Genomic DNA, 21,986 nt, shown 5'->3' on the forward strand with positions numbered 1-21,986 from the left:
GCAGCCTGTGGGCCACGGTTGTGGACGAGCTTGCACTGAGGGGAGACCTATAGTATCTGGCATTGTGTGTGGGAAGAAGCCTGGAGACTGAGCCCTGGAGAGAAGGAGAGGGTGGGTCAAGGTGAGAGATGAGCTCTTTTTGAGAGGGAACCAGCCCAAAGGCGAGGCATTCAAGGTAGAGAGTGGTAATCGAAAGCGAGAAATGGAAATTGTTATCTCTTTGTTTTAGTAACTGGGAATGTAAGTCTCCCCATGTCATCGGCCTCTATTCTTTCTAAAAACTTTTCAAGGGATGTATTTAGCCTTCCTACAAGAGTATTTTGATTTGTTTTTGAACAGGTCTTTCTGAACCTGTCCCACTTTTATTGATGCTTTCGCTGATGTTTGTGAAAGGCATCTGGGAAGGGCACTAGCCAGTCAGGCTTTTAACACCTGTCTGTGGGTTCAACAAAGAGGAATTAAGCTTCTTCTCAATTGCAGATGTCGTGTTGTATTCTGGGTCCCATAGGAGATCTTGACTGACCCAGGAGTGGTCCCCTCCGGGAAGAAGGACGCTCAGCCACCAGCTGCCCCCAGGTGTTCGTCCCCAGGGGTAGAACTCACCCACTTTATGAGCAAGTCTTTGTCAAGGAAAGAAGACGGCAATTGAAATTTTCATTGAGCTGTTAGCATTTTTTTCAGAAAACCATTTTGTCCCAGTGTGTGTAAGAAGTTATTCCTTCATTCAACACATGTTGAGTGCCTTCTGTGTCTGGCACATTTCCAGGTGCTGGGATACAGCAGTAAACAGATTCCATGTCAGTGGATAAACACACACTGGAAACACATAAGTGAAACACAGAGGGTGTCAGGGAGGTTATAATCACTACCTAGAAAATTAAAGGAGGGAAGGAGGCCTTAGGGAGAGTCACCTGGGAGGTGGAGACAGGTGTTGAAATTGTTAAAAATAGCATCAGGAAAAGGCTTACTGAGTGACATTTGAGCAAAGATTTACATGTGAGGGAAGAGCATTCCAGGCAAGAGGGCACAGTGAGTGCTATGGTCTTGCAGGAGCATGCTTGGGATATTTGTGGAACAGCACAAATCCTGCAGTGGCTTGAGTATGGGCAGTGAGAGGGAAGAGTACACACGAGAGGAGGTGAAGGGGAAAAGGGAAGATCATGCATCCGGGGCCTTGTGGCCACTGTGAATACTTTGGCTTTCCCTCTGGTTAAACAGGAAGATGCTGGAGGCTGTTAAATTGGCTGTAGGGGCAAGGGTGGAAGGAGACTCTGATGAGATGGCGGTAGCATGGATCTAGATGGAGGTGGTGGAAAGAGGTCAGGTTTGAGATATTTTGAAGGGAGAGCTGATGGACTAGATGTGGGCTATGTGAGAAGGAGAAAGATTGGGAGAAGAATAGGTTATGGACTTGTTAAATTTAGATCCATATTAGGGTGCTCGTGTCAAAAATGTAGTTGGGTGTATGAGTCTGGAGTCAGGAGAGAAGCCTGGGTGGGAAGGGTGTCTGTGAGCCATCTGTGTACATATGGTATTTACATCCATGAGACTGTGGAGTGACTGTGTGTTGGGTAAGAACTTCAGTGTCTTGGGGTTGTAGGCATGAGAGGAACCAGCGAAGGAGACACAGGAAAGGTGGCCAGCAAGGAGGTGGAGACAAGGTCTGACGATGAGTGACTCTCTGGACCCCCGTGCAGGTGTGACAACATGCGTGTGTTTAAGCTGGGCCTCTTCTCGGGCCTCTGGTGGACCCTGGCCCTGTTCTGCTGGATCAGTGACCGAGCTTTCTGCGAGCTGCTGTCATCCTTCAACTTCCCCTACCTGCACTGCATGTGGTAAGCCCCTGCTAATGGGGAGGTGGCCGGGGACAGGTGTGTTTGCACTTGCTGTTGGGCTCTGTTCACCCTGCAAGTGGTGCACAGGTGTCCTGTGGGTTGCTGGCTTGCTTCTCTCCTCAGGTGGACGGTCAGATGGTTCAGAAGCCACTGAAAGCACACTTTGTAAAAAGCTGAATTGACTCCAGGGAGCAGGCTTAGCCGGAACGAAAGGCCTGATTGTCATGCTTAGGTCTGCAGTCTTTTACCTCTAACTCCATTATTAAAGCCTAAAGGAGCTTGAGAACTGAACCTGTAACCTGAGCTCTAGCTAGGTGTTGGGGGAGGGGAGAGGTAGGGGAAAGCTGGGGAAAGAGGTGATGTGAGGGCTGGGAGGGTCCTCAGTGGGAACCCCACCTTTAGGGCCTGAGAGACCAAGTGCAAGGAGGGGCCGCACTGGCCATTTAGAGACATTCTCTTCCATTATTTCTATAAGTGGGGACAGAAGACCAGAGAGCTAAAGTGAATTGTTTAATGTCACCCACCTGTTTCTGTAGAAAACAACCTTGGAGTTCAGTAATAGCACATTGGAGCGTCTATACTTTGGAATGCTCAGGATACACTAAGTTAAAAAAAAAAAAGCGGGTTACAAAATACATGCAGAATCCGATTCTGAGAAAGCTGGGGGAAATTGGAGTGGCTTTCTTCCTAGGAACTGCTTCAGCCTCAAACCCAGAGTGATCTTTCCTTTCTGTCCTCCAGGACTTCTGATTGCAAAAGATCACAAGGAGGAGAAATCTGCTGTAGGTTATCCCCTATAGGTAGGAGGAACCCAGAGAGGAATTCTAGTGGTGAAGAAATGGAAAAACTTTGTTAGATCTAGATTCAGGAAAAGGTTGACTTCTATCCAGAGATAGGCTAAAAATATACAATTTGATAGAATTCACTTAAGTTCCCTTGCTCATGTGAACTTTGATATATTTGCTATGAGACCCACCCTACTCTAAATTTAAGACTTGGGGACTTCAAGGAGTGTTTGTAAAAGACAAAATTCAAACAGCACAAGTTGGAGTTTACCGTCTTAGGATCCATTGCTCGATATTTTTTAGATTCAACTCAACTAATACTAGTGAATTTATATAGTTTATATATTTGTTGGGTTATAATTTCCAGATAACAAAATGTACAGATTTTAAGTGTATATTGTGAATTTTGAGAAATGTATACACTAGGTAAATATGACCTCATTCAAGATGGTCATTTTTATCTAAGTCCCCTGTCACACATGATTTAAGTCAAATTCGAAATTTAAACTATGTAATAATTTTGACTCAAACTTAATGTGTTTCTGAATTTGGTATATTTCTGCTTTGTTTTTCAAAGTTGAACCATATTTTCTTTCCAGTTATAAAATGACATATTTTTTATAACAAATTTAAACAACATAGAAGTATAGAAAGAATGGCTCTCATAATTCTATCCCCCAAAGAAACATAATTATTAACAGTCTGATGTATATCCATTGAGATTTTATATGTACACACACACGCACACATATATATGTCTACTTTTAAAAAAAATAGCATCATTCTATACACGATGCAAACTTTTTTTTTTTTTTTTTTTTGAGACAAAGTCTCACTCTGTTGCCCAGGCTGGAGTGCAGTGGGGTGATCTTGGCTCACTGCAATCTCTGCCTCCCGGACTGAAAGTGATTCTCCCACCTCACCCCCTGCAGGGAGCTGGGACTACAGGTGCATGCCACTGTGCCAGGCTAATTTATTTTGAATTTTTTTGTAGAGATGGATTTTTGCCATGTTGCCCAGGCTAGTCAGAAACTCCTGGGCTCGAGCAGGTCCACCTGCCTTGGGCTCCCAAAGTGCTGGGATTACAGGCATGAGCCATTGAGCCTGGCCCAAACTTTTTTTTTAACCAAATACTTAAATCTATACTACATAGATCTAATGCTATACAGACATCATTCCATACCAATACATATATATAATCTTCATTTTTGTGTCTAATAAATGCTTCATAATATGGACACTTTATAATTTATTTAACCAACCTCTCTCTGATAACGGACTTTGAGGTTATTTCTAATTTTCCACTTTTGCAAACACTTTATAATGAACATCTAGATTGATTTGAGTTTCTGAATATTTTCATATGTTAAATTAATATTATATATTGCTAAATCCAGAGAAACTGTACCATTAACACTGTTTACTGAAGTCTGTAAGAGAGCATTTTTTACCCACACTTTCACATATACTGGAAACTCTTAAATCTCCATTAACCTGTTTGAGAAAAATTATATTTTGTTTTTATTATTATGTCTTTTTAAAAAATTAGTATTTTTGTTGGGCATCTTTTCAAATGTCAATTTGTGATGTGTATTTCCCCTTTTAATTTTCTTTGTCTGGTCTATTGAGTGTTTCTATTTTTAAAAGTTCATATCAGCCGGGCGTGGTGGCTCACGCCCGTAATCTCAGCACTTTGGGAGGCCGAGGCAGGTGGATCACCAGGTCAGGAGATCGAGACCATCCTGGCTAACACGGTGAAACCCCGTCTCTACTAAAAATGCAAAAAATTAGCCGGATGTGCATGTAGTCCCAGCTATTTGGGAGGTTGAGGCAGGAGAATCGTTTGAACCTGGGAGGCGGAGATTGAAGTGAGCTGAGATTGTGCCACTGTACTCTAGCCTGAGCAACAGAGTGAGACCCCGTCTCCAAAAAATAAAAAATAAAACAGTTTATATTCAGCATCTAGGCTTGGCACATAGTAGACAGTCATTACTAGCTACGTAACTATGTGCCACTTATGCATATTTGCAACATTTTCACAAGTACAGAGAATAATACATTGAACCCCCATATAGGCAACACCCAGATTCCATAACTATCAACACGAGGCCAATCTGGTTCATACCATTCTCACCTACTTCCCACCCTGACCCTGATTAATTTCTTTAGTGTTCTTTGTATGTAGGGATTTAAACTTTGTCATATGGTACAAATATTCCCTGCCCCCCTGCAGTTTCTCATTTGTCTTTCAGTATATTAATATTTTTGTGCCATACTGGTTTTAAACTTTCATATTGTCACATCTGTTAATCTTTTCTATAGGATTTCTGGATTTTGTGTAATTTTTAAAAAGATCCCCTCCTCCCCAACATCAAAGTTTATAAAAATATTGTCTTTGGGCTGGGCGCAGTGGCTTACGACTGTAATCCCAGCACTTTGGGAGGCCGAGGCAGGTGGATTACCTGAGGTCAGGAGTTCAAGACCAGCCTGGCCAACATGGTGAAACCCCCTCCCTCTCTACTAAAAATACAAAAATTAGCTAGGTGGGCCTGGTGGTGGGTGCCTGTAATCCCAGCTACTTGGGAGGCTGAGGCAGGAGAATTGCTTGAACCCAGGAGGCAGAGGTTGCAGTGAGCCGAGATTGCACCATTGCACTCCAGCCTGGATGACAGGGTGAGACTTCATTTAAAAAAAAAAAAAAAAAAAAAGGATTACATGCTTTTAAATGGTCTATTGTTCGATAAAGTTTAATATAAATTTAAAACTTTGTACAGGTACAGTGAGGATAAATTTTTTAAAATTTCCACTAAACTGCAAAAGTGGTTTAACCAACATAAAATTATTCCTGATGAAGGACATAAAATATCTGTAACCAGTTGTTAAAGTGAGAAGGTGGGTTCTAATCAGATGTGCTCAGTTACTTCCATCTTAGCATCTCTGTTGTAAATCCTTGGGCCTCAGTCTTCTTGTTTGAGGCCCAAAGGCATTTATTTGCACATTTGTTCCTATTATCCAGCAGGACTATTTAAGAACATTCTAAAACGGGTCCCAAATTGCTGAAGATTTATCATCCTGCTATTCCAGGGATTGTTGGTAATCTTCATCCTTTCCTAATTAGAAGAGGCCCCTGGGCTGCAACTACAGTCAGCAAGGTGCGTGGGTTAGACCGGAAGAAGGAGCAGGCTAAACTCAGGGCAGCGGAGTCTTCATGCTCATCAGGTTCTCACCTCTTGTCTCCCTCTGCAGGCACATCCTCATCTGCCTTGCTGCCTACCTGGGCTGTGTATGCTTTGCCTACTTTGATGCTGCCTCAGAGATTCCTGAGCAAGGCCCTGTCATCAAGTTCTGGCCCAATGAGAAATGGGCCTTCATTGGTGTCCCCTATGTGTCCCTCCTGTGTGCCAACAAGAAATCATCAGTCAAGATCACGTGATGGCAAGATGGTGGCTGGCTTCTCTGCTTATCGCCCCTCATGCAGTGGGCTTCCTTTGCTAGGAAGACAGCCAAGGGAGTTCGAATAGTTGGGGTGTGGGCTATCTTTTCAAAAATCTATTTGCTGGGGCTCTTAATTTCTTTAGTGTTCTTTGTATGTAGGGATTTAAACTTTGTCATATGGTACAAATATTCCCTGCCCCCCTGCAGTTTCCCATTTGTCTTTCAGTATGTTAATATTTTTGTGCCATACTGGTTTTAAACTTTCATGTTGTCACATCTGTTAATCTTTTCTTTAGGATTTCTGGATTTTGTGTAATTTTTAAAAAGGTCCCCTCCTCCTCCCTAATGTGTCTGTGGACCACCTGGATTCCACTGTACAAGGGGAAAAGTGTCTATTCCTTTCCCAAAGATGGAAAATGGAGGGCTTAGGGACACTAGATGCATCTTTCTCAGCATCACTTCCAGATGCAGTGACTTGTTGGGCTGCGTCCTTAATGGCCATGGCAGAGCAGTCCCTTGGGGGATCCAGCCCTGTACAATGCATCTCTTCCTGGAGAAAGCTGGCCTGCTCCAGACCCCACCATTCCCAGGCGCCCTTGGAGTGGACTCTACTGATGACAGACAGACCCTCTGAGAGACAAGACCCTCTGACTCTGTGATGGAAGATGCCAGAGATTTTCCTTTGGGGTAATTGTCCTTAAACAAAACCAAACAGATGAAACACACACAGGACTTGTGGCTAAAAAGGCTAGTTTTTCACTTGCATTTCTCAACTAACCCAGGTTTTACATGCATCTGTGAATCCTTTTACTACTACCTCTGTGGAGAGATGGAGAGACTTCAGATAAACGTGAAGCTAATGAGTAAAACCCTCTCTGCCAAAACCTACACTCCACTTTAGGCCCTTCTTGAAGATGAGCACAATTTTTAAATACTGAGCACAATTTTTAAATACTGACATCACTTCCTCTTCCCCCTCCCACCCCAGCTCAGCAGCCTCAAATCTACAGAGAAGAAGAATTATGGCATGAACATTCCCACAGACCCACCATCTTTAAGACTTGACCTCTGTAAGTTTACCAAAGGGCTCCTCACAATTGTGGTGGGGGTTCTGGTTCAAAATTTGGAGCAAACATGAAGTTTTTGGAAACGTTTTCTCATTTGAAGCCTCCAGTATGCTGTACTATTCTGGAAATTACCTTCAAGAGTCTCACTTCTTGTTTCTGTTGTGTTTTCTGTGGGCATCATGTTCTTCACGCTTGCAGTAGAAGGTGCTTTCTCGGTTTCCCAGAGTATCCAACGGCTCACCTTTCTCAAGTGCTGGCAGTAGCTATGCACTCACGGGCTGGTTTGGGTCGCTGGTGCAGCAGCGCAAATCTGTTGCCTTCTGAATTTTTCTCACCTAATGTGACACTGGCTACAATGAATCTTCTCTTCATCGGGCTGAATGAAAGATTCAAGAACCATCTTCAAGGTGCATGGTGGGAATTATCAACCTCAGGGATACTCATTTTAACTCAGGCGTGTCCTGCTTTGTAACATTCCATTGTTGGGAGAGGGCAGGACAGGTGTGTTCTTCTGTGGGCAGGAGTCATGTCACTGTCCTACATATGTAAGAGTTGGGAAGGTGACGATTTTTGACACATCCAGGAACTCTTACTCTAGTTAGAATTTGTACCAGATCCAAGGTGAAAACCCCAATAAGCAACTGAATTTAGAGTTTAAAAATGAATGACTTTATGCTACATCTGTGGTTATCAAATTATATAGGTTGTTGAGAAGCAGAACGCTGTTTGTAGTAAGAAATCTTTGTGGAACCCCAGTGTGTGAAGTAAATTGTATGTTATTAAATTTATTTAAGGTTAAATTTATGGCATTTACTTAATAATATATGAGGTGGTGAAAATGCAAATTAACAAATTGGTAATTTCCAAGGTAGAAAAATTAGGTGTTGAATGAATGTATATGTTGGTTTATTATAGTTTTATATATATATAGAGAGAGTGTTTTGTTTTTGAGTCAGGGTCTTGCTCTATTACCCAGGCTGGAGTGCAGTGGTGCAGTCATGACTCACTGTAGCCTCTGTCTCCCAGGCTCAAGTGATCCTCTCACCTCAGCCTCCCCAGGAGCTGGGAGTACTGGTGCGTGCCTCCACTCCCAGCTAATTTTTGTATTTTTTCATAGAGATGGGGTTTCACCATTTTGCCCAGGCTGGTCTCAAACTTCTGGGCTCAAGAGATTCGCCCGCCTCGGCCTCCCAAAGTGCTGGGAATAGGCATGAGCCGTCACGCCTGGCCTAAAAAATATTTTTAAAATGATCTTTGAATTAAATATTCGTAGAATTTCTAATGTATCTCTTTGAGACCTAGGAGGTTGATGGAACAGAACTGCTGTTAAGTCCTTTGGGTTTCAAGTCTAGAATTTTTTAAAGGCAAATATCAGCTCATTCTTATTTTAGATTGACCTTATCAGGCATGGATTCTGGTCTCATCTACTTTATGGTATAAATGCTCCAAGGTAGGGGGTTTGGTATATATTTTAAGCCCGGCTTTTTTTTTTTTTTTTTTTTTTTTTTTTTTAATGTGAGAAGCAGAATGTGCTTCTAGAAACTGGTTTTAAAGAGATGAGCTGAGAAAGAAATGTGGAATGGAGTATATTTGAGGAGGACAAAACATAACTTCACTTTTGAACAGAAATCACTCTAGCTTGCCAGCATGGGATGTAAACCAAGAGAGTAGAAATATACCCATCTTATTTTAAGTTGGGTTTATGGCATCGCTCATATATGTAAAAGCACTACAAACTCTTTAAAGAAAATTGGGAAACTACAGAGAAGTCAAAGAAAAAAAAAAGTAACCCATATTTCTATTGCCCAGGTATAATCCTTGTTAATATTTTGGTTTGGTCTCCTCTTTTTTCCCCCAATATAGTTGTAAATAAATGATGTCTTTCAGAGTTGACATTTATCCTGTAGCTTGAATGGCATGTAAATGCCAGTTGTATATTTTTTCATGAAGTGTAGGTTTGGAATACACTAGAGTTAGCTATATGCTTGAATGCTGATCACTGGATTCTGAGACTGACTACTGAGTCTACCTTTTTAATCAAGCCTAACATGAATGGGCTCCAAAAAGTAATGAATGTAATTGTACTTTTTGATGTGCCTCTGCACTTGGCTTGGTGAGTCATCATAAATAGCTGTTAAATATGTGACTTTACAGATTTTGATATGTTCAGATTGTAAAAAATGAATAGTTTATTTCATTAATTGATGGGCAGTCAAGAATCTCCCTCCCTTCAGTAGGGCTGACACTTAGGAGTTAGGTCATGGTTGTGGTTACTTGGCATGGCTAATCAGATTTTGTTCTGGTCAGAATTTGCCCAAGATCAATACCCAGCAGAAACTGGAGTTAGGCTATAAAAAACCATTCATGTTTCCGAGTGATCATTTCAGTCAGCGATTCATGTTTTACAGTGTTTAGTTGTTGATTATTAGAAAAAGTAATATTTTCTTCCCTTTATGATTACATCATTATAAATCAAGTCCTTCCATGAACACATTTAAGGTGTGTGGAGATGAGATCTCTGAATCCATTTGGGGATGGGCTGCATTTTTGGGGAACTCTATGCCTGTCCAGTGAAGAGTGCCTAAAACATTAATTATAGATCAAAGATGTTCTGTTGAGGGACAAAGCTTGATGGTCATCAAACACAAGGCTTTGTAAAAATACGACCACCTATTCCACTTACTGGATCTGTCAGGTGTGTAAAACTTCTCTCGCCAGTTCATCATGCTTCCATGAGCCCTCAGGACTGGGATTTGAGCCTTCCTGGCTCTTTATCCCTTGGGGCAGACATGGAACCATCTCTGAGGGACCAGGTGGATGCTGAAGCTCACCCAGTCAGGGCCCCTCTCCTAGCTCCTTTTACACTGAAATTAATCTGAAAGCTTTCATAGCCAAGGCTTTGCCTAGGTGCTATTATTCCAGCTGGCCAAAGAGAAGTCTTGGGCCAGATTGGGATTCTCAATGGATTTTATAGACATAATTCCCCTGCAAACTTAAAAAAATAAATAACCCCTACTTTATAGGACTAATTGTTTGAATTGTATCTTTCTCTGTATGTTAAACCAGATTTAAAACTATTTTATAACCACAATATGTAATCAGAGCAATATAGTGTTTTCAGATATATACCTTGTTTTATACCTTATGTAGGTGTCCTACATAAGGGTGGCATGCCCACTGGCTGTGGTAAAATTTAATCCTCATTGCTTTGGGAGTGACTTAAGGCCTTTTGAAGTGGAGCTTTTGCACTTTATACTTTTTCTGTGAACTATGATAACTATATTTGATATTAAAGCTGTAAGTGGCATTTTCAGCAAATGAATATGTACATGTTTGTGTCTATTTCCAAAATGATTTCTGAACTATCTGCAGTGAAAATGTATCTGATGGATTGTAGAGCAAAGCACATTGCCTAAATTCATTTGTTAATGAATTGGGTACCATTGTTATTAAAAATGCGTAAAGTAATTGTTGTTCCTTGTTGGTTTCTTCTCAGAGCTGTGAAATTAACACATGAAAATATTTCCAGCATAAAATACCTAAGAACAGTTTATTTTTACTAAAACTTCTATAGTCATGTCATATAGATATAAATCTCAAATATAGGCCTGGTGCGGTGGCTCGTGCCTGTAATCCCAGCACTTTGGGAGGGGAAGGTGGGTGGATCACCTGAGGTCAGGAGTTCGAGACCAACCTGGCCAACATGGCGAAACCCCGTCTCTACTAAAAAAAATACAAAAATCAGCTGGGCATGGTAACTCGCACCTGCAGTCCCAGCTAGTCAGGAGGCTGAGGCAGGAGAATCACTTTCACCTGGGAGGCGATGGTTGCAGTGAGTCAAGGTTGCACCAATGCCCTCCAGCCTGGGTGACAGAGCGAGACTCTGTCTCAAAAAAAAAAAAAAAACCCAAAAATCTCAAATATAGAATACAGTTCATTTATGCTGGATTTCATCAAATCACTAGAAGGAAGATCGTGACATTTTAAAATCATAAATTTAGCAGGAAAATTTTTACCTACTTCTTTTAATTTTCTGTGGCAGTTTTTTAAACTGAAAGGACTCACAGATCATCAGATTTAGAAGAATAGTCTGGGCACAGTGGCTCATGCCTGTAATCCTGGCACTTTGGGATGCTGAAGTGGGTGTATCGCTTGAGCTCAGGAGTTCAAAACCAGCCTGGGCAACATGGTAAAACCCTGTCTCTACCAAAATTACAAAAATTAGCCAGGTGTGGTGATACACACCTGTAGTCCCAGCTACGCAGGAGGCTGAGGTGGGAGGATTGCTTGAGCCTAGGAGGCAGAGGTTGCAGTGAGCAGAGATCGTGCCACTGTGCTCCAGCCTGGGCCAAACAGTGAGACCATTTATCAAAAAGAAAAAAAAAAAAGAAAAATCGTAAGAGAAGAAAGACTGGATAAGCATTATCTGTATCATTACAGTGGGTTTTTAGACTTTTTTTTTTTTTTCTGGCAGAGGTGAGGGGACAAGGAGTGGCCCCATAGTTGTTTGGCAATATAAAAGCTGTAGGAAAACGTCCATGTAGAGGTTGAGTATCTCTAATCCAAAAATAAAAAATCAGAAATTCTCCAAAACCTGAAACTTTTTGAGCACCTATATAAAAATCAAAGGGAATATTCCTTGGAGCATTTTAGACTTCTGATTTTTGGAATAGGGATGCTGTATAATGCAAATATTCCAAAGTCTGATATCTGAAATCCAAGCATTTCTGGTTCCAGGCACTTTGGATAAGGGACATTCAATCAGTATATAATTTTCTGGGGGTTCAGACATCTCTAGTAGCCCATCCAGGTAAACAGCCTCTGCCCAACAGGAGACTAAGCAAGCACTCAAATCCTTTTGGTGCTGAAATTGGTTACTCAGTCTTCGGGACTGAACTTTTTTGAGGCTGTGGTCAGGGACAGTGGCTGAGGAAGTTGAGAGCTCTGCTTTTGGGGCACTGGCACGGGTGTGTGTGCCTCTCTCCCCGACAGTCTGGATTATTTGTTTCTCCTCTTGGGTGACCTCTTTTTCTGAGTCTGGCTGGGAGTTGATGCAGCCACACCTGCTCCCTTTTCCAGATTGCCCTTTGAAGACCAGAGCTCAGGGGCTAGCCTCTCCCACTCTTTTCTTTAAAGGACTTTTCATTAAAAGACATTACATTGAAAGACTGTGTTAAAGAACTATACTACAAAGGGCTGGAGTGGGCAGACCCAGGGTTCTGGCAAGTGACATCTTAGGGCTCCTCAACAAACTGGGAACTTAGATTTTTTCCTTGCAGCCTCTTTCCTGGTTTACAGTTTCACAGTTCTTAAGATGGTGTTTGGGTTTGTCATACCGTTCTGTCTACTTTTGTATAGTTGGATTTTTTCATAATAAGAACTTAAAAGATACGGTATTTGAGATTTTGTTCTCCACTGTCTCCAGAGCCGGTTCTCAGCCTCCTTTCCGGCCCCGTTTTAAGAGGGCTGGCAGCCCCTCTCTCCCAGAACTTATCTTGTCTCAAGTGGCACTTCTGTCTCTAACTGTCTCCAGCCTGGCGACACCTAGTTTACCTGGGAAGTCTTCTCTTTGGGTGTTAACTCACAAAAAGGAAGAGATCACCCTCACCTGGGTTTTTATTTATTTTATGCTTCTCATTAAAACAAAACATTTGATTCAGCTGCTTTGGCAATTGAGAGCAGAGACCAAAGTGCTATTTTTAAGATGTAACAAATAACAGTAGTTTATTTTTATATTCGGGCTAGTGATAGGAAACTGGCTGAAGGTAAGGCCAGGAGCATGAAGTAATGGAAAACATACAGTGGCGCTGATGATATTTGGGAGAGAGGGTTTCCTGTGAACAAAGAAAGCCATTAGCTACTGGGTGGGAGGGACGGAGACGCTCCTGGAGTAATACTGCCATCTTGTGGGTTTTTGAGGCATTGCTATGTGGCGCAAGCGAAGCCCTTCCCAGTTCCTAATCATCCCAGAGATCACCAATTGTCTCAAAACGCCAAGTTATGTAATCTCTTTCTGGGCCCAGGTATGTTTCCCTGCATTTTTCCAAGCATCTCTCTCCCTTCCTTTTCCTCTCCTCTCTTCCCTTAGAAATTCAGTTTTCACCCCCCACCCCGGGTGTTTTAGAGGTTGCCCAATGTGAAAGCAAATACTGTTGTTGGCTCTCGGTATTCGTGGTTCCAGGACCCCCCAACCCCCATACCAAAATCCCAGAGGCTCCAGTCTCATACATAAAATAGCATTGTATTTACATATTACCTATGCACGTCTTGTGTGCTTTAAATCATCTCTGGATTACTTATAATACCTAATACAATGTATATGCTGTGTAAACAGTTGTTAAACTGCGTTGCTTTTTATTTGTATTATTATTTATTGTTGTGTTATGATTTTTTACTGTTTCTTTTTCCCTGAATATTTTCGATCCATGTTGAATAGGTGGATGTGGAACCTGAGGTTACAAAGGGGCTGTATTTAAAACCAATTTAAGGTAGATGTGATTTAAAGGAAGTTTTGTGTTTTTGTTTGTTTATTAGATATGGGGTCTTGCTGTGTTGCCCAGGCTGGAAGGTAGGGGCTATTTACAGGCTCCATAATGGCACACTACAGCATTGACCTCCTGGCCTCAAGCGATCCTCCTGCCTCAGCCTCCTTAGTAGCTGGGCCAAAAGGCACTAGCCACCGACCAGTCTGGAGGAAGTTTTTAATCCACTGGAGTGAAATTTAACTTTTGGGATTAATAGCTCAATTTACACAAGTCAAATGTCATTATAACTCAGATCTTTTTAAAGATGAATCTAATTTAAATCAACACTCAGCAAGTGTCTGTGTGGTATTACCTATTATGCTGCCTGCAGAGGGTTATGGGGACGGATGGAGCAGCTCAGATCTGGGGAGGGGAGAAGGCCACTGACTCTGCCAAATCCCCGTAGTGGAGAGGAATCAACAGTGCTAGGGAGGCAGGAAGGAGAGAGTGGTGAGTTTTCACCAGGGAGGAGCGAGAATTCTAAGCTTTAACTGATAAACCATGAGCCACATATAATACGGAATTTCAGTCCAGTGAAATAATTGGTCGACTCCCTAGGAATATTATTGGTAGACTCCCTAGGAATTTTCTTACAAGCAAACCTTATTTGACAGCCCATCACATAAGTTATCTTTCACATAAATGGTCTCATTTACTCCTCTCAGCTATTTTGCGAGGCTGGCATTACCATTATTCCTGTTTTGGGTACGACTGGAAATGTATTTTGACCACTGCTATTGCAAGGATGTGAACCCAGGACTTTTGACTCTTAGGTTTAATTCTCTTTCCACAGAGGATTTATGGCAAATGAGTTAAAGGTTTTCATATAGGTGGGCACCAAATTGGAATTGTCAGTTTCAAAACTGTCCTATTAGTACAAATAATTGGGTAAAATACAGTTGGCCTTTCATATGCATGGGTTGTGTATCTGTGAATTCAACCAGCCTTAGATTAAAAATACTTAAAAAATTCAGTGTTGAATATGTAGAAAGTATTTTTTTTACAGCTTTTAATTGTACCTTTATTCAACTTAGTTCATTAAAAATGTACTTGTTTTAAAGATCCTGCAAATAAAGTGACCACTCACTAATGTGGGCTATAGGTCACCCCTCAGCATGTTATTTATTTTTTTTTAAAAAGCAGTATGTCTTATAGGAATCTTACTGATCACACAGTAGTTACAATAATGTCAGATGTGATGTATACATTCTAAATGAGACAGGCTGGTTAAGAATTTACATAATGTAAAAATATACATATTAAAAGTTAGCCAAGTGGACAGATGCATGCAGTGGGGAGAGCAGGTGACAGGAACTGCTTTAATGATCAGTACAGGGCCCAGATGCAAGGAATCTGGGTTTCCCCTATTATAGTAAATAGCTTTCACTAATGTATACAGGAATTCCATACACATCTAAACACACGAGGGTAAGTTGTGACTTGCTACATGTACAGTCTAAAGTGGTGTAACTGTGATCTTCCTGTGATACTCCCAAGAAAACTAAATAGTGGACCCCATGCAGGTAGTGGGAAGCACTGGTCTTTTATCACAGGTTGAACCTGAGGAGGTTTAACTCCTGACATTAGTATTTGTAAAGAGTGTATGACTCCTTTTTCTATGTTTTCTCCACAACTGACATGCATTCAGTGTGGGGGAATTCTGATGGCTATTTGACCTATCAGTGATAACTGAACTACTATTAAAAATGTGGGAACCTTTTCAATAATATTGAATTACACATTTAACATTAAAAAAAACAAAAACAAAAACATGGATCATCCATGGCTTTAAGCCAGAAGGTAGAAGGGAGTGTGTCTGAATTTTAATGCTTTTAGTTATACTATTCTGTGGTTTCTACCGCTGTCCTAAAGAATGACACTGGTACACTGCTTCTTTCCATACCAACACAGGCACTAGTTTGAACTCAGACAAAAGCTGAAACAGAAGAAGTGCCACTCTTTCTCCAGGGTCTTTTGAGAAACTGGATCAAAATTATAAATTACTCAAGTTTCCTTTTCAGTGGTATCTTTATGTGTGTAACTAGAGAACAAACCAAATAAGAAATGTCTACCCCTGCAAGAGTGTGGACTTTGGGTGTAGTTCTGTTAGGAGTCAGGAACCTCGAGCAGCAGTTTACAGTCAGGGCTGTTTTCTTACACACACCCCATTTACCCTGCGTTTGTGCCAACTATTACGGCAAATGCGTTTTGCAGGGATTATGCTTCACAGCTGAGGCCTACAGATCCTCTTAGGGAGATTTCTCTAGCTGAGTAGAAAACTTCTATCCGAAAAGGCGCTGGGTTCTGTGAACCTGAAGAGAAGACTCAGGGTCTCTCTGAAAGCCTTTAAATTACTGCTGGAATTGGAAGTTCCTATTAGTGAGAAAAGAGCATTAAAATAACTTGAAGGTCTATTTTATTGGCAACTTAGAATGCAAAGTATTTTATTTTTAAACTTTTAAAATTTGAAAACAAACTAGCCTACATTAAATCATATAGTTTCCAAAGCTGAACGTTCTCACTTGGAGCTCAGTTCTGCCGCTTGAAATACAAACACAACTTCTAACGCTCCTAGGTGGGAACACTACTGTTTGATGATCTATGATTAGATGAACTGATCGATCTCAGTTGGCAACACCCCTTTTTTCCCTTGGTAAGGGTTTAAAAAATTCTAGAATAGATGCATTTTTCTAGTTTTACACTGACAATTTCATCCCATACGTCTCCTGGGAGGCATAGACCATGTATAGGAATCCATCTTCATCCTTCTCACTCTCATACACCTCTGAGACTGGTGTGGAGACGCTCACCATGCTATGTCCGTTCACCACCAGGAGGAAGGCTTGATTAGCATTGAGCTGTAAGCGCCTTCTAATTATCTTGATGAGCTCACTCATGTTGACGTCTCGAACGTCAGGTACAAGGAACTTCGTTTTATCCAGGACAGGAAGCTGCTTCTCACCTTGGTATCGTTCTGTTATCACCGGGCTTTTGGCTGGATGCTGCTCTTGAATAAGTCGGACATCTACTCTTTGTTGGAAGGTGCGGCGCTGCTTGAAGGTCTTCTCCGCTGGCCTGGTGCGGGGATCCAGGCGGCGGCGGCGACGGCGCGAGGGTCCCCGCGGCTCCTGGGGGCGGCGCGGGCGGTAGAAAGTATTTTTTCTTGTCATTCTGGAAGCAGTACAATGTAACAACTATTTACATAGCTTTTACGTATAACTAATGTAGAGATGATTTAAAGTATAGGGGAGGGCTGGGAGCGGTGGCTGGCGCCTGTAATCTCAGCACTTTGGAAGGCTGAGGTGGGCGGATCACTTGAGGTCAAGAGTTGGAGACCAGCTTGGCCAACATGGTGAAACCCCGTCTCTACTAAAAACACAAAAATTAGCCTGGCGTGGTGGTGCATGCCTGTAGTTCCAGCTACTCGGGAGGCTGAGGCAGGATAATCGCTTGAACTCAGAAGGTGGAGGTTGCAATGAACCGAGATCGTGCCACTGCACTCCAGCCTGGGTGACAGAGCAAGGCTCTGTCTCAGGAAAAAAAAAAAAAAAAAAAAAAAAAAAAAAAAAAAAAAGGGGGCGGGGGGAGAATGTGTATAGGTTATATACAAATACTGCATGATTTTATGTCCTGGACTTGAGCATCCTCAGGTTTTTGTAAACGGCAGCTAGTAATCAAAACCATCTGCTGCTTAACAGTCCTGGATGCTGGTACTGCCTGTGGCCATAGTGAGGAGTCACAAGCTATCTCTCTTTGCTCAGTGACAGGTCTGCAAGTCTCATTATTTCCTGGCCATCTCTATTGGATGCCCATAGACAACTCACATTTGCCTTTACTTATACCTCTCTTAAATCTGGGCCTTGTCCACTTTCTCAGTGAGTGGTGTCACTTTCCATTCAGTTGGCAGAGGCAGTCCCCACCTCCCTCAGTTGTCTATATCCAATCTATTTTGAGACAGGGTCTTGCTCTGTCACTCAGGCTGGGTGCAGTGGTGTAATCATAGTTCAAGGCAGCCTCACTCTCCTGGGCTCAGGGGATCCCTCCTGCCTCAGCCTCCTGAGTCACTGAGACCACAGTCATGTGTCACCATGCCTGGCTAATTTTTAAATTTTGTCTCTTTATGTTGCCCAAGCTGGTCTCAAACTCCTTGGCTCAAGTGATCCTCCTGCCTTGGCCTCCCAAAGTGCTGGAATTATAGGTGGTAGCCACTGTGTCCAACCCATATCCAATCTAATAGTAAATAAATCCTTTTAATTCCACTTCTCCAATGTCTCAAATCCATCCATTTTTCCGTATCCTGGAGAAGGTGCCACCTTCTATTGCCCATCTGTCCTGCTGGAGCCACAGCTGTCTTTCTAGAGAGAAATCTGACAGTGTCCTTCCTGCTCAGGCCCCACCAGTTCCTCCCCATTGCTCTTAGAACAAAACAAACCTGATTGGAGACCCTGAGTGTGATCTGAAGTCTCCTCCACGATCTGGTCCCTGCCTTCCTTTCCAGTCTTTCTGGTTTTGAGCATCTCCCCCTTGTCCCCTTCACTCGAGTCTCTCAGAGCTTTGTGTGTTCTTCCTGGTCTTTCACATGGCCTTTGGGCCTGTCTCCATGGCTGTGTAACAGATCACCTCAAAACTTAGTGGCTTGAAACATCAGAAATTTATTCTGTCACAGTTCAGGAGGCCAGAAGTCCAAAATCAAGGTGTGGGCAGGGTTGGCTCCTTTTGGAGGCTCTGAGCAAGAATCTGCTCCATGTCTCTCCTTCCACTGTCATGGGGCTTCTTCCTTGTGTCCCTGTGGCCTTGTGTCTAAGTTTCTCCTTTATCTTACAAAGACATCAGTCATTGAACTTAGGGCCCACCCTAATCCAGTATGACCTCATCTTAACTAATGACATCTGCAAAGACCCCATTGCCAAATAAGGTCACATACTGAGATTCTGGGTGAAGGTGAATTTTGGGCAAACGTTATTTGAACCACTCACTACACTGTCATGTGCCAGGAATGTGGAATCCCCTCCCCACTTTTAGCTAAAACCGCCAGAATGGATTTAGCGTTGTGGAACCTCTAGACTCCTCCCGTGTGTGCACGCACCTTGTATGCACACATAGGTGCACACTGACAAGTGCTGGCACACACATGCCCAGGGCTTCCTCTTTCTCTCCCATGGTCCCTGGTGAAATTTCCTGTAATACCTTTTCATGCCCTCCCTCCGAGGCGGGGAGGGGTACCGCTATCTACAACCAGCTGTGGAAAATACCCCGAGAAGCAGTGAAGGGAGGCAGCACTAAGGAGGAGAGGGGTGTGGGCTGAGCTAGGAAAGAGGAGGTTTTAGGAAGCTGGCCTGGGGGTTCACTTGGAAGAAAACCTGTTCTCTTCCCAAATCTTAGGATGTCTGGTGGGATAAAGCCATCCAGTCTGGCCTCTCCCTACCCGCACCGCCTGGCCTCCTCATCTTTGTATTCCCAGAGACAAACCCAGGGCCTGGGAGACTGAATCCAAACATCAATTTACCAACCAATCAATCCGTAGAGCAGCGGTCTCCAACCTTTTTGACACCAGGGACCGGTTTCATGGAAGACACTTTTTTCCACAGACTGGAAAGGGCTGGGAGTGTGAGGTGGAGAATGGTTTCAGATGGTTCAAGCTCATTACATTTATTGTGCACTTTATTTCTATTATTATTACATTGTAACGTATAATGAAATAATTATTGTAATATAAGAATAATAATTATTATTACATTGTAATATGTAATGAAATAATTACAACTCACCATAATGTAGAATCAGTGGGAGCCCTTAGCTTGTTTTCCTGCAACTAGGTGGTCTCATCTGGGGATGATGGGAGACAGTGACAGATCATCAGGCATTAGATTCTCATAAGGAACATGCAACCTAGATCCCTCCCATACGCAGTTTACAACAGGGTTCACACTCCTATGAGAATCGAATGCCACTGCTGATCTGACAGGAGGTGGAGCTCAGGCGGTCATGCTTGCCTTCGCCCCGGGGCTCACCTCCGTCTGTGCAGCCCGGTTCCTAACAGGCCACAAAGGGGTACTGGTCTGCGGCCTGGGGTGTGGAGACCCCTGCCTTAGAGCAAAAGAGTTTTGGGGTGTGGTGAGAATACCTTGCCCGGGTGAGGAAGGCTTCCTGGATTGGAATGCGGCGTCCAAACTGATACCTGACGGGCAGCGAGCACTAGGCCAGGGGAAAGGTCTCCAGGCTGCCAGACCGCTGGGCAGATGATGGCTCTTCTGTCCACGGCACCTGGTTGGATGTCAGGAGTACTGAGGAGTGTGTGTGTGTGCGTGTGAGTGTGAGTGTGTGCGTATTTTTGTGCAGAGCAAGCGTGAAAGAAGCCAACAGGAGCCATACCCATGAGTTGAAAATATCAGAAAGGGGAGCTATGACCTGCAAGACACATTGTGAGTGTGGTGTCTTGGCCATTGTCCGCTGGGACCACAGGAAGGTCAGGGATGCACTTCTGCTTGGTCCTACGGCTGGCAGTTGGGAGATGCGGGCGTGGGGAGCGGAGCCCGATGAGTGTAGTGTCTGGAGCGGACTGGGAGCAGCTCGGCCTGGGTGTCCGAGGAGCGGGCGGGCGCTGCTCCGGGCGCCCACCAGGGGGCAGTGCTGCCGGGCGAGAGCGCGGTGGGCTGAAGGGCGCGGGGCTGCGGGGCTCGGGGGTGTGGGACTAGAAGGCGCGTGGCTGTGGGACTAGGGGCTGGCGGGCGCGGGGCGCGGGGCGCAGGGCTGCGGCGGGGGCGGCCAGGGCGGCTTTTGCCTCCCACGCAGGCAGGAGAGAGTTCTTGCGTGCCTGCCTATACTCGCCGCCGGGCATGTTTCCAGGTGAGCGGACCGTGCTGACTCTGGGCTGCAGAAATGCGCCCCCAGAGGAAAGCTCTGCGCTTTGCGGGAGCTCTTTAAAGCCAAGGTTCCAGAGAATGGATTTACCCCAAAGCTGATAACGCTAACGCTTCTGCCACCCCAAGGCCGTGTTCATGCATATATCTATACGAGATTCCCTGAAAGTGTGTATGTTTCAGGCCCACTGGGCTCTGCCTCTTGGTGACTCCACTCCAGGTTTCAGTTTGGTTGGCCCCTTGACGGTCTAGATCCCTAACCCCCAGATCCACCAGAGCTACTGAGAAACTGGGGCAAGCCTCCACAGAGACAAGCGACTTGGGGTATGTGTGGGTATATGGGTGTGGATGAGAGAGTGAGCGAGCGAAGGAGTTCAGCAGTATAGATGCCAGTAGCACCTACCCTTCCAGTTGTGACAACCTAAAGTGTCCCAAACATTGTCAAATGTCATATATCTGGCGAGGAGAGCCGGGAGTTGTTCCTGGTTGAGAACCACTGATTTAGAGATTGTAGCTTTCCTTTTCCATTGCTGCTTATGGGTTAAGCCTCACGTCTTTTCCAGAGGGGTTGTATTGTGACTTGTACAGCCTCTTCCCGGAGATTTCTACCCACCAAATTGAAAGGGTCACAGGCCGACTCCGGGGGTGAAGAGCCTGGGTTCAACCGAGGAAAGGGCCAGGGGCCTCCTTTCCTCCTGTGGCCTCGGCTGCAGCCTGCGAGCTGGGGAGAAAGTAGCTGCTGGCCTGGCCGGGGGTGCTGCGCTCTGCTCCCAGTTTCTCTCTTCCAACAGTTAGAACATGAAAGCTGGAAGCGATCCTAGAGGGTGTCTAGTTCAACACCTGCCCCTTCCCTTAAAGAAGTGTTTACGATGAGAACACTGACATTCAGAGCCCTGAAGCGTGTCTTCCAGGGCTGCGTAGCTTTTATGAGGTAGAAGACCAGGCCCAGGTGTCCTGACTTCCAGCCTAGAGCTTTTACTGCTCCATGGGCAGCCTCTCTGAGTCCCCTATTAAAATGCAGTCCCCCTGGAGGGCACACACCATAAACTAGATGAGTGGCTGCCTAATAAATGACCCTGAAACTTAGTGGCTTGAAACAAAAATAAATAGTCTCTCAGTTTCTCTGGGTCAGGAATTTGGGAGCAGCTTGGCTGGGCAGTTCTGCCTCAGAGTCTCTCATAACTTTCAGTGAGATGTTGGTCAGGGCTTTTGAGTATAGACTTTGGTCAAGAATCTTCTCTTGGCCGGGCACTATGGTTCACACCTGTAATCCCAGCACTTTGGGAGGCCATGGTAGGAGGATCACTTGAGGCCAGGAATTTGAGGCTAGCCTGGGCAACTTGGTGAGACCCTGTCTCTACAAAAAGTACAAAAATAAGCCGAGTGGGGTGGCATGTGCCTGTGGTCCCAGGTACTTGGAAGACTTGGGTGGGAGGATTGCTTGAGCCCAGGAGGCCAAGGCTGTAGTGAGCCATGATGG

At 43.9% G+C, this 21,986-nt stretch overlaps 2 protein-coding genes across 9 annotated transcripts in view, besides 9 other annotated features; one reads left to right on the forward strand and one right to left on the reverse strand.

Moving 5' to 3' along the window:
- Positions 1-7,922, forward strand: part of ACER2 (alkaline ceramidase 2) — a 43,497-nt gene extending 35,575 nt beyond the window's left edge. For 4 of the 8 annotated variants that reach the window (NM_001010887.3, XM_047423335.1, XM_017014694.2 and 1 more), the window contains exons 5-6: positions 1,698-1,835; positions 5,867-7,922. In NM_001010887.3, coding sequence (NP_001010887.2) covers positions 1,698-1,835; positions 5,867-6,053 — 325 coding nt within the window. In that variant the 3' untranslated portion in view covers positions 6,054-7,922. Of the gene's footprint in view, positions 1-1,600; positions 1,836-1,958; positions 2,068-5,636; positions 5,773-5,866 lie in introns of those variants that run through there. The other 4 variants (XR_002956780.2, XR_002956781.2, XM_047423336.1 and 1 more) reach the window with 4 other exon arrangements.
- Positions 1,476-2,675: an enhancer, noted in NCBI's record as "BRD4-independent group 4 enhancer chr9:19446057-19447256 (GRCh37/hg19 assembly coordinates)". NCBI's record gives its function as "activates an origin of replication core promoter dependent on BRD2, P300/CBP, MED14 and CDK7 cofactors, and independent of BRD4, by STARR-seq in HCT116 cells {active_cell/tissue: HCT116}" and the evidence as "EXISTENCE:reporter gene assay evidence [ECO:0000049][PMID:35650434]".
- Positions 1,614-2,360: an enhancer, noted in NCBI's record as "NANOG-H3K27ac-H3K4me1 hESC enhancer chr9:19446195-19446941 (GRCh37/hg19 assembly coordinates)". NCBI's record gives its function as "activates a minimal SCP1, AML or CMV promoter by ChIP-STARR-seq in primed H9 embryonic stem cells {active_cell/tissue: H9 hESC(primed)}" and the evidence as "EXISTENCE:reporter gene assay evidence [ECO:0000049][PMID:30033119]".
- Positions 7,183-7,402: an enhancer, noted in NCBI's record as "active region_28222". NCBI's record gives its function as "activates an Ori minimal core promoter by ATAC-STARR-seq in GM12878 lymphoblastoid cells {active_cell/tissue: GM12878}" and the evidence as "EXISTENCE:reporter gene assay evidence [ECO:0000049][PMID:35858748]".
- Positions 12,658-13,253: an enhancer, noted in NCBI's record as "OCT4-NANOG hESC enhancer chr9:19457239-19457834 (GRCh37/hg19 assembly coordinates)". NCBI's record gives its function as "activates a minimal SCP1, AML or CMV promoter by ChIP-STARR-seq in primed H9 embryonic stem cells {active_cell/tissue: H9 hESC(primed)}" and the evidence as "EXISTENCE:reporter gene assay evidence [ECO:0000049][PMID:30033119]".
- Positions 12,658-13,296: a biological region, named in NCBI's record as "OCT4-NANOG hESC enhancer GRCh37_chr9:19457239-19457834".
- Positions 12,848-13,142: an enhancer, noted in NCBI's record as "tiled region #13319; HepG2 Activating DNase unmatched - State 4:PromP, and K562 Activating DNase matched - State 12:CtcfO". NCBI's record gives its function as "activates a minimal TATA promoter and a strong SV40 promoter by Sharpr-MPRA in HepG2 and K562 cells {active_cell/tissue: HepG2 | K562}" and the evidence as "EXISTENCE:reporter gene assay evidence [ECO:0000049][PMID:27701403]".
- Positions 13,157-13,296: an enhancer, noted in NCBI's record as "active region_28223". NCBI's record gives its function as "activates an Ori minimal core promoter by ATAC-STARR-seq in GM12878 lymphoblastoid cells {active_cell/tissue: GM12878}" and the evidence as "EXISTENCE:reporter gene assay evidence [ECO:0000049][PMID:35858748]".
- Positions 16,296-16,797: an enhancer, noted in NCBI's record as "H3K4me1 hESC enhancer chr9:19460877-19461378 (GRCh37/hg19 assembly coordinates)". NCBI's record gives its function as "activates a minimal SCP1, AML or CMV promoter by ChIP-STARR-seq in primed H9 embryonic stem cells {active_cell/tissue: H9 hESC(primed)}" and the evidence as "EXISTENCE:reporter gene assay evidence [ECO:0000049][PMID:30033119]".
- On the reverse strand, positions 16,343-18,806 carry MAP1LC3BP1 (microtubule associated protein 1 light chain 3 beta pseudogene 1). The gene is made up of 2 exons (XM_047424278.1): positions 18,733-18,806; positions 16,343-16,721 (listed from the first exon to the last, which is right to left on the reverse strand). Exons 1-2 carry the CDS (start codon positions 18,804-18,806, stop codon positions 16,343-16,345), a joined length of 453 nt encoding a protein of 150 aa, XP_047280234.1.
- Positions 20,162-20,621: a silencer, noted in NCBI's record as "silent region_19795". NCBI's record gives its function as "represses an Ori minimal core promoter by ATAC-STARR-seq in GM12878 lymphoblastoid cells {active_cell/tissue: GM12878}" and the evidence as "EXISTENCE:reporter gene assay evidence [ECO:0000049][PMID:35858748]".

The sequence above is a fragment of the Homo sapiens genome, chromosome 9, assembly GCF_000001405.40.
Source record: "Homo sapiens chromosome 9, GRCh38.p14 Primary Assembly".
Taxonomy (NCBI): Eukaryota; Metazoa; Chordata; class Mammalia; order Primates; family Hominidae; genus Homo; species Homo sapiens.

Excerpts from the sequence above, each read along its gene's own strand:
- MAP1LC3BP1 (XM_047424278.1), bottom strand. The coding sequence starts at position 18,806 with ATGGGAGAGAAAGAGGAAGCCCTGGGCATGTGTGTGCCAGCACTTGTC. Across the intron at positions 16,722-18,732 it reads CACCTATGTGTGCATACAAG|GCCAGCGGAGAAGACCTTCA; the intron begins GTGCGTGCACAC and ends TCCCCGCACCAG.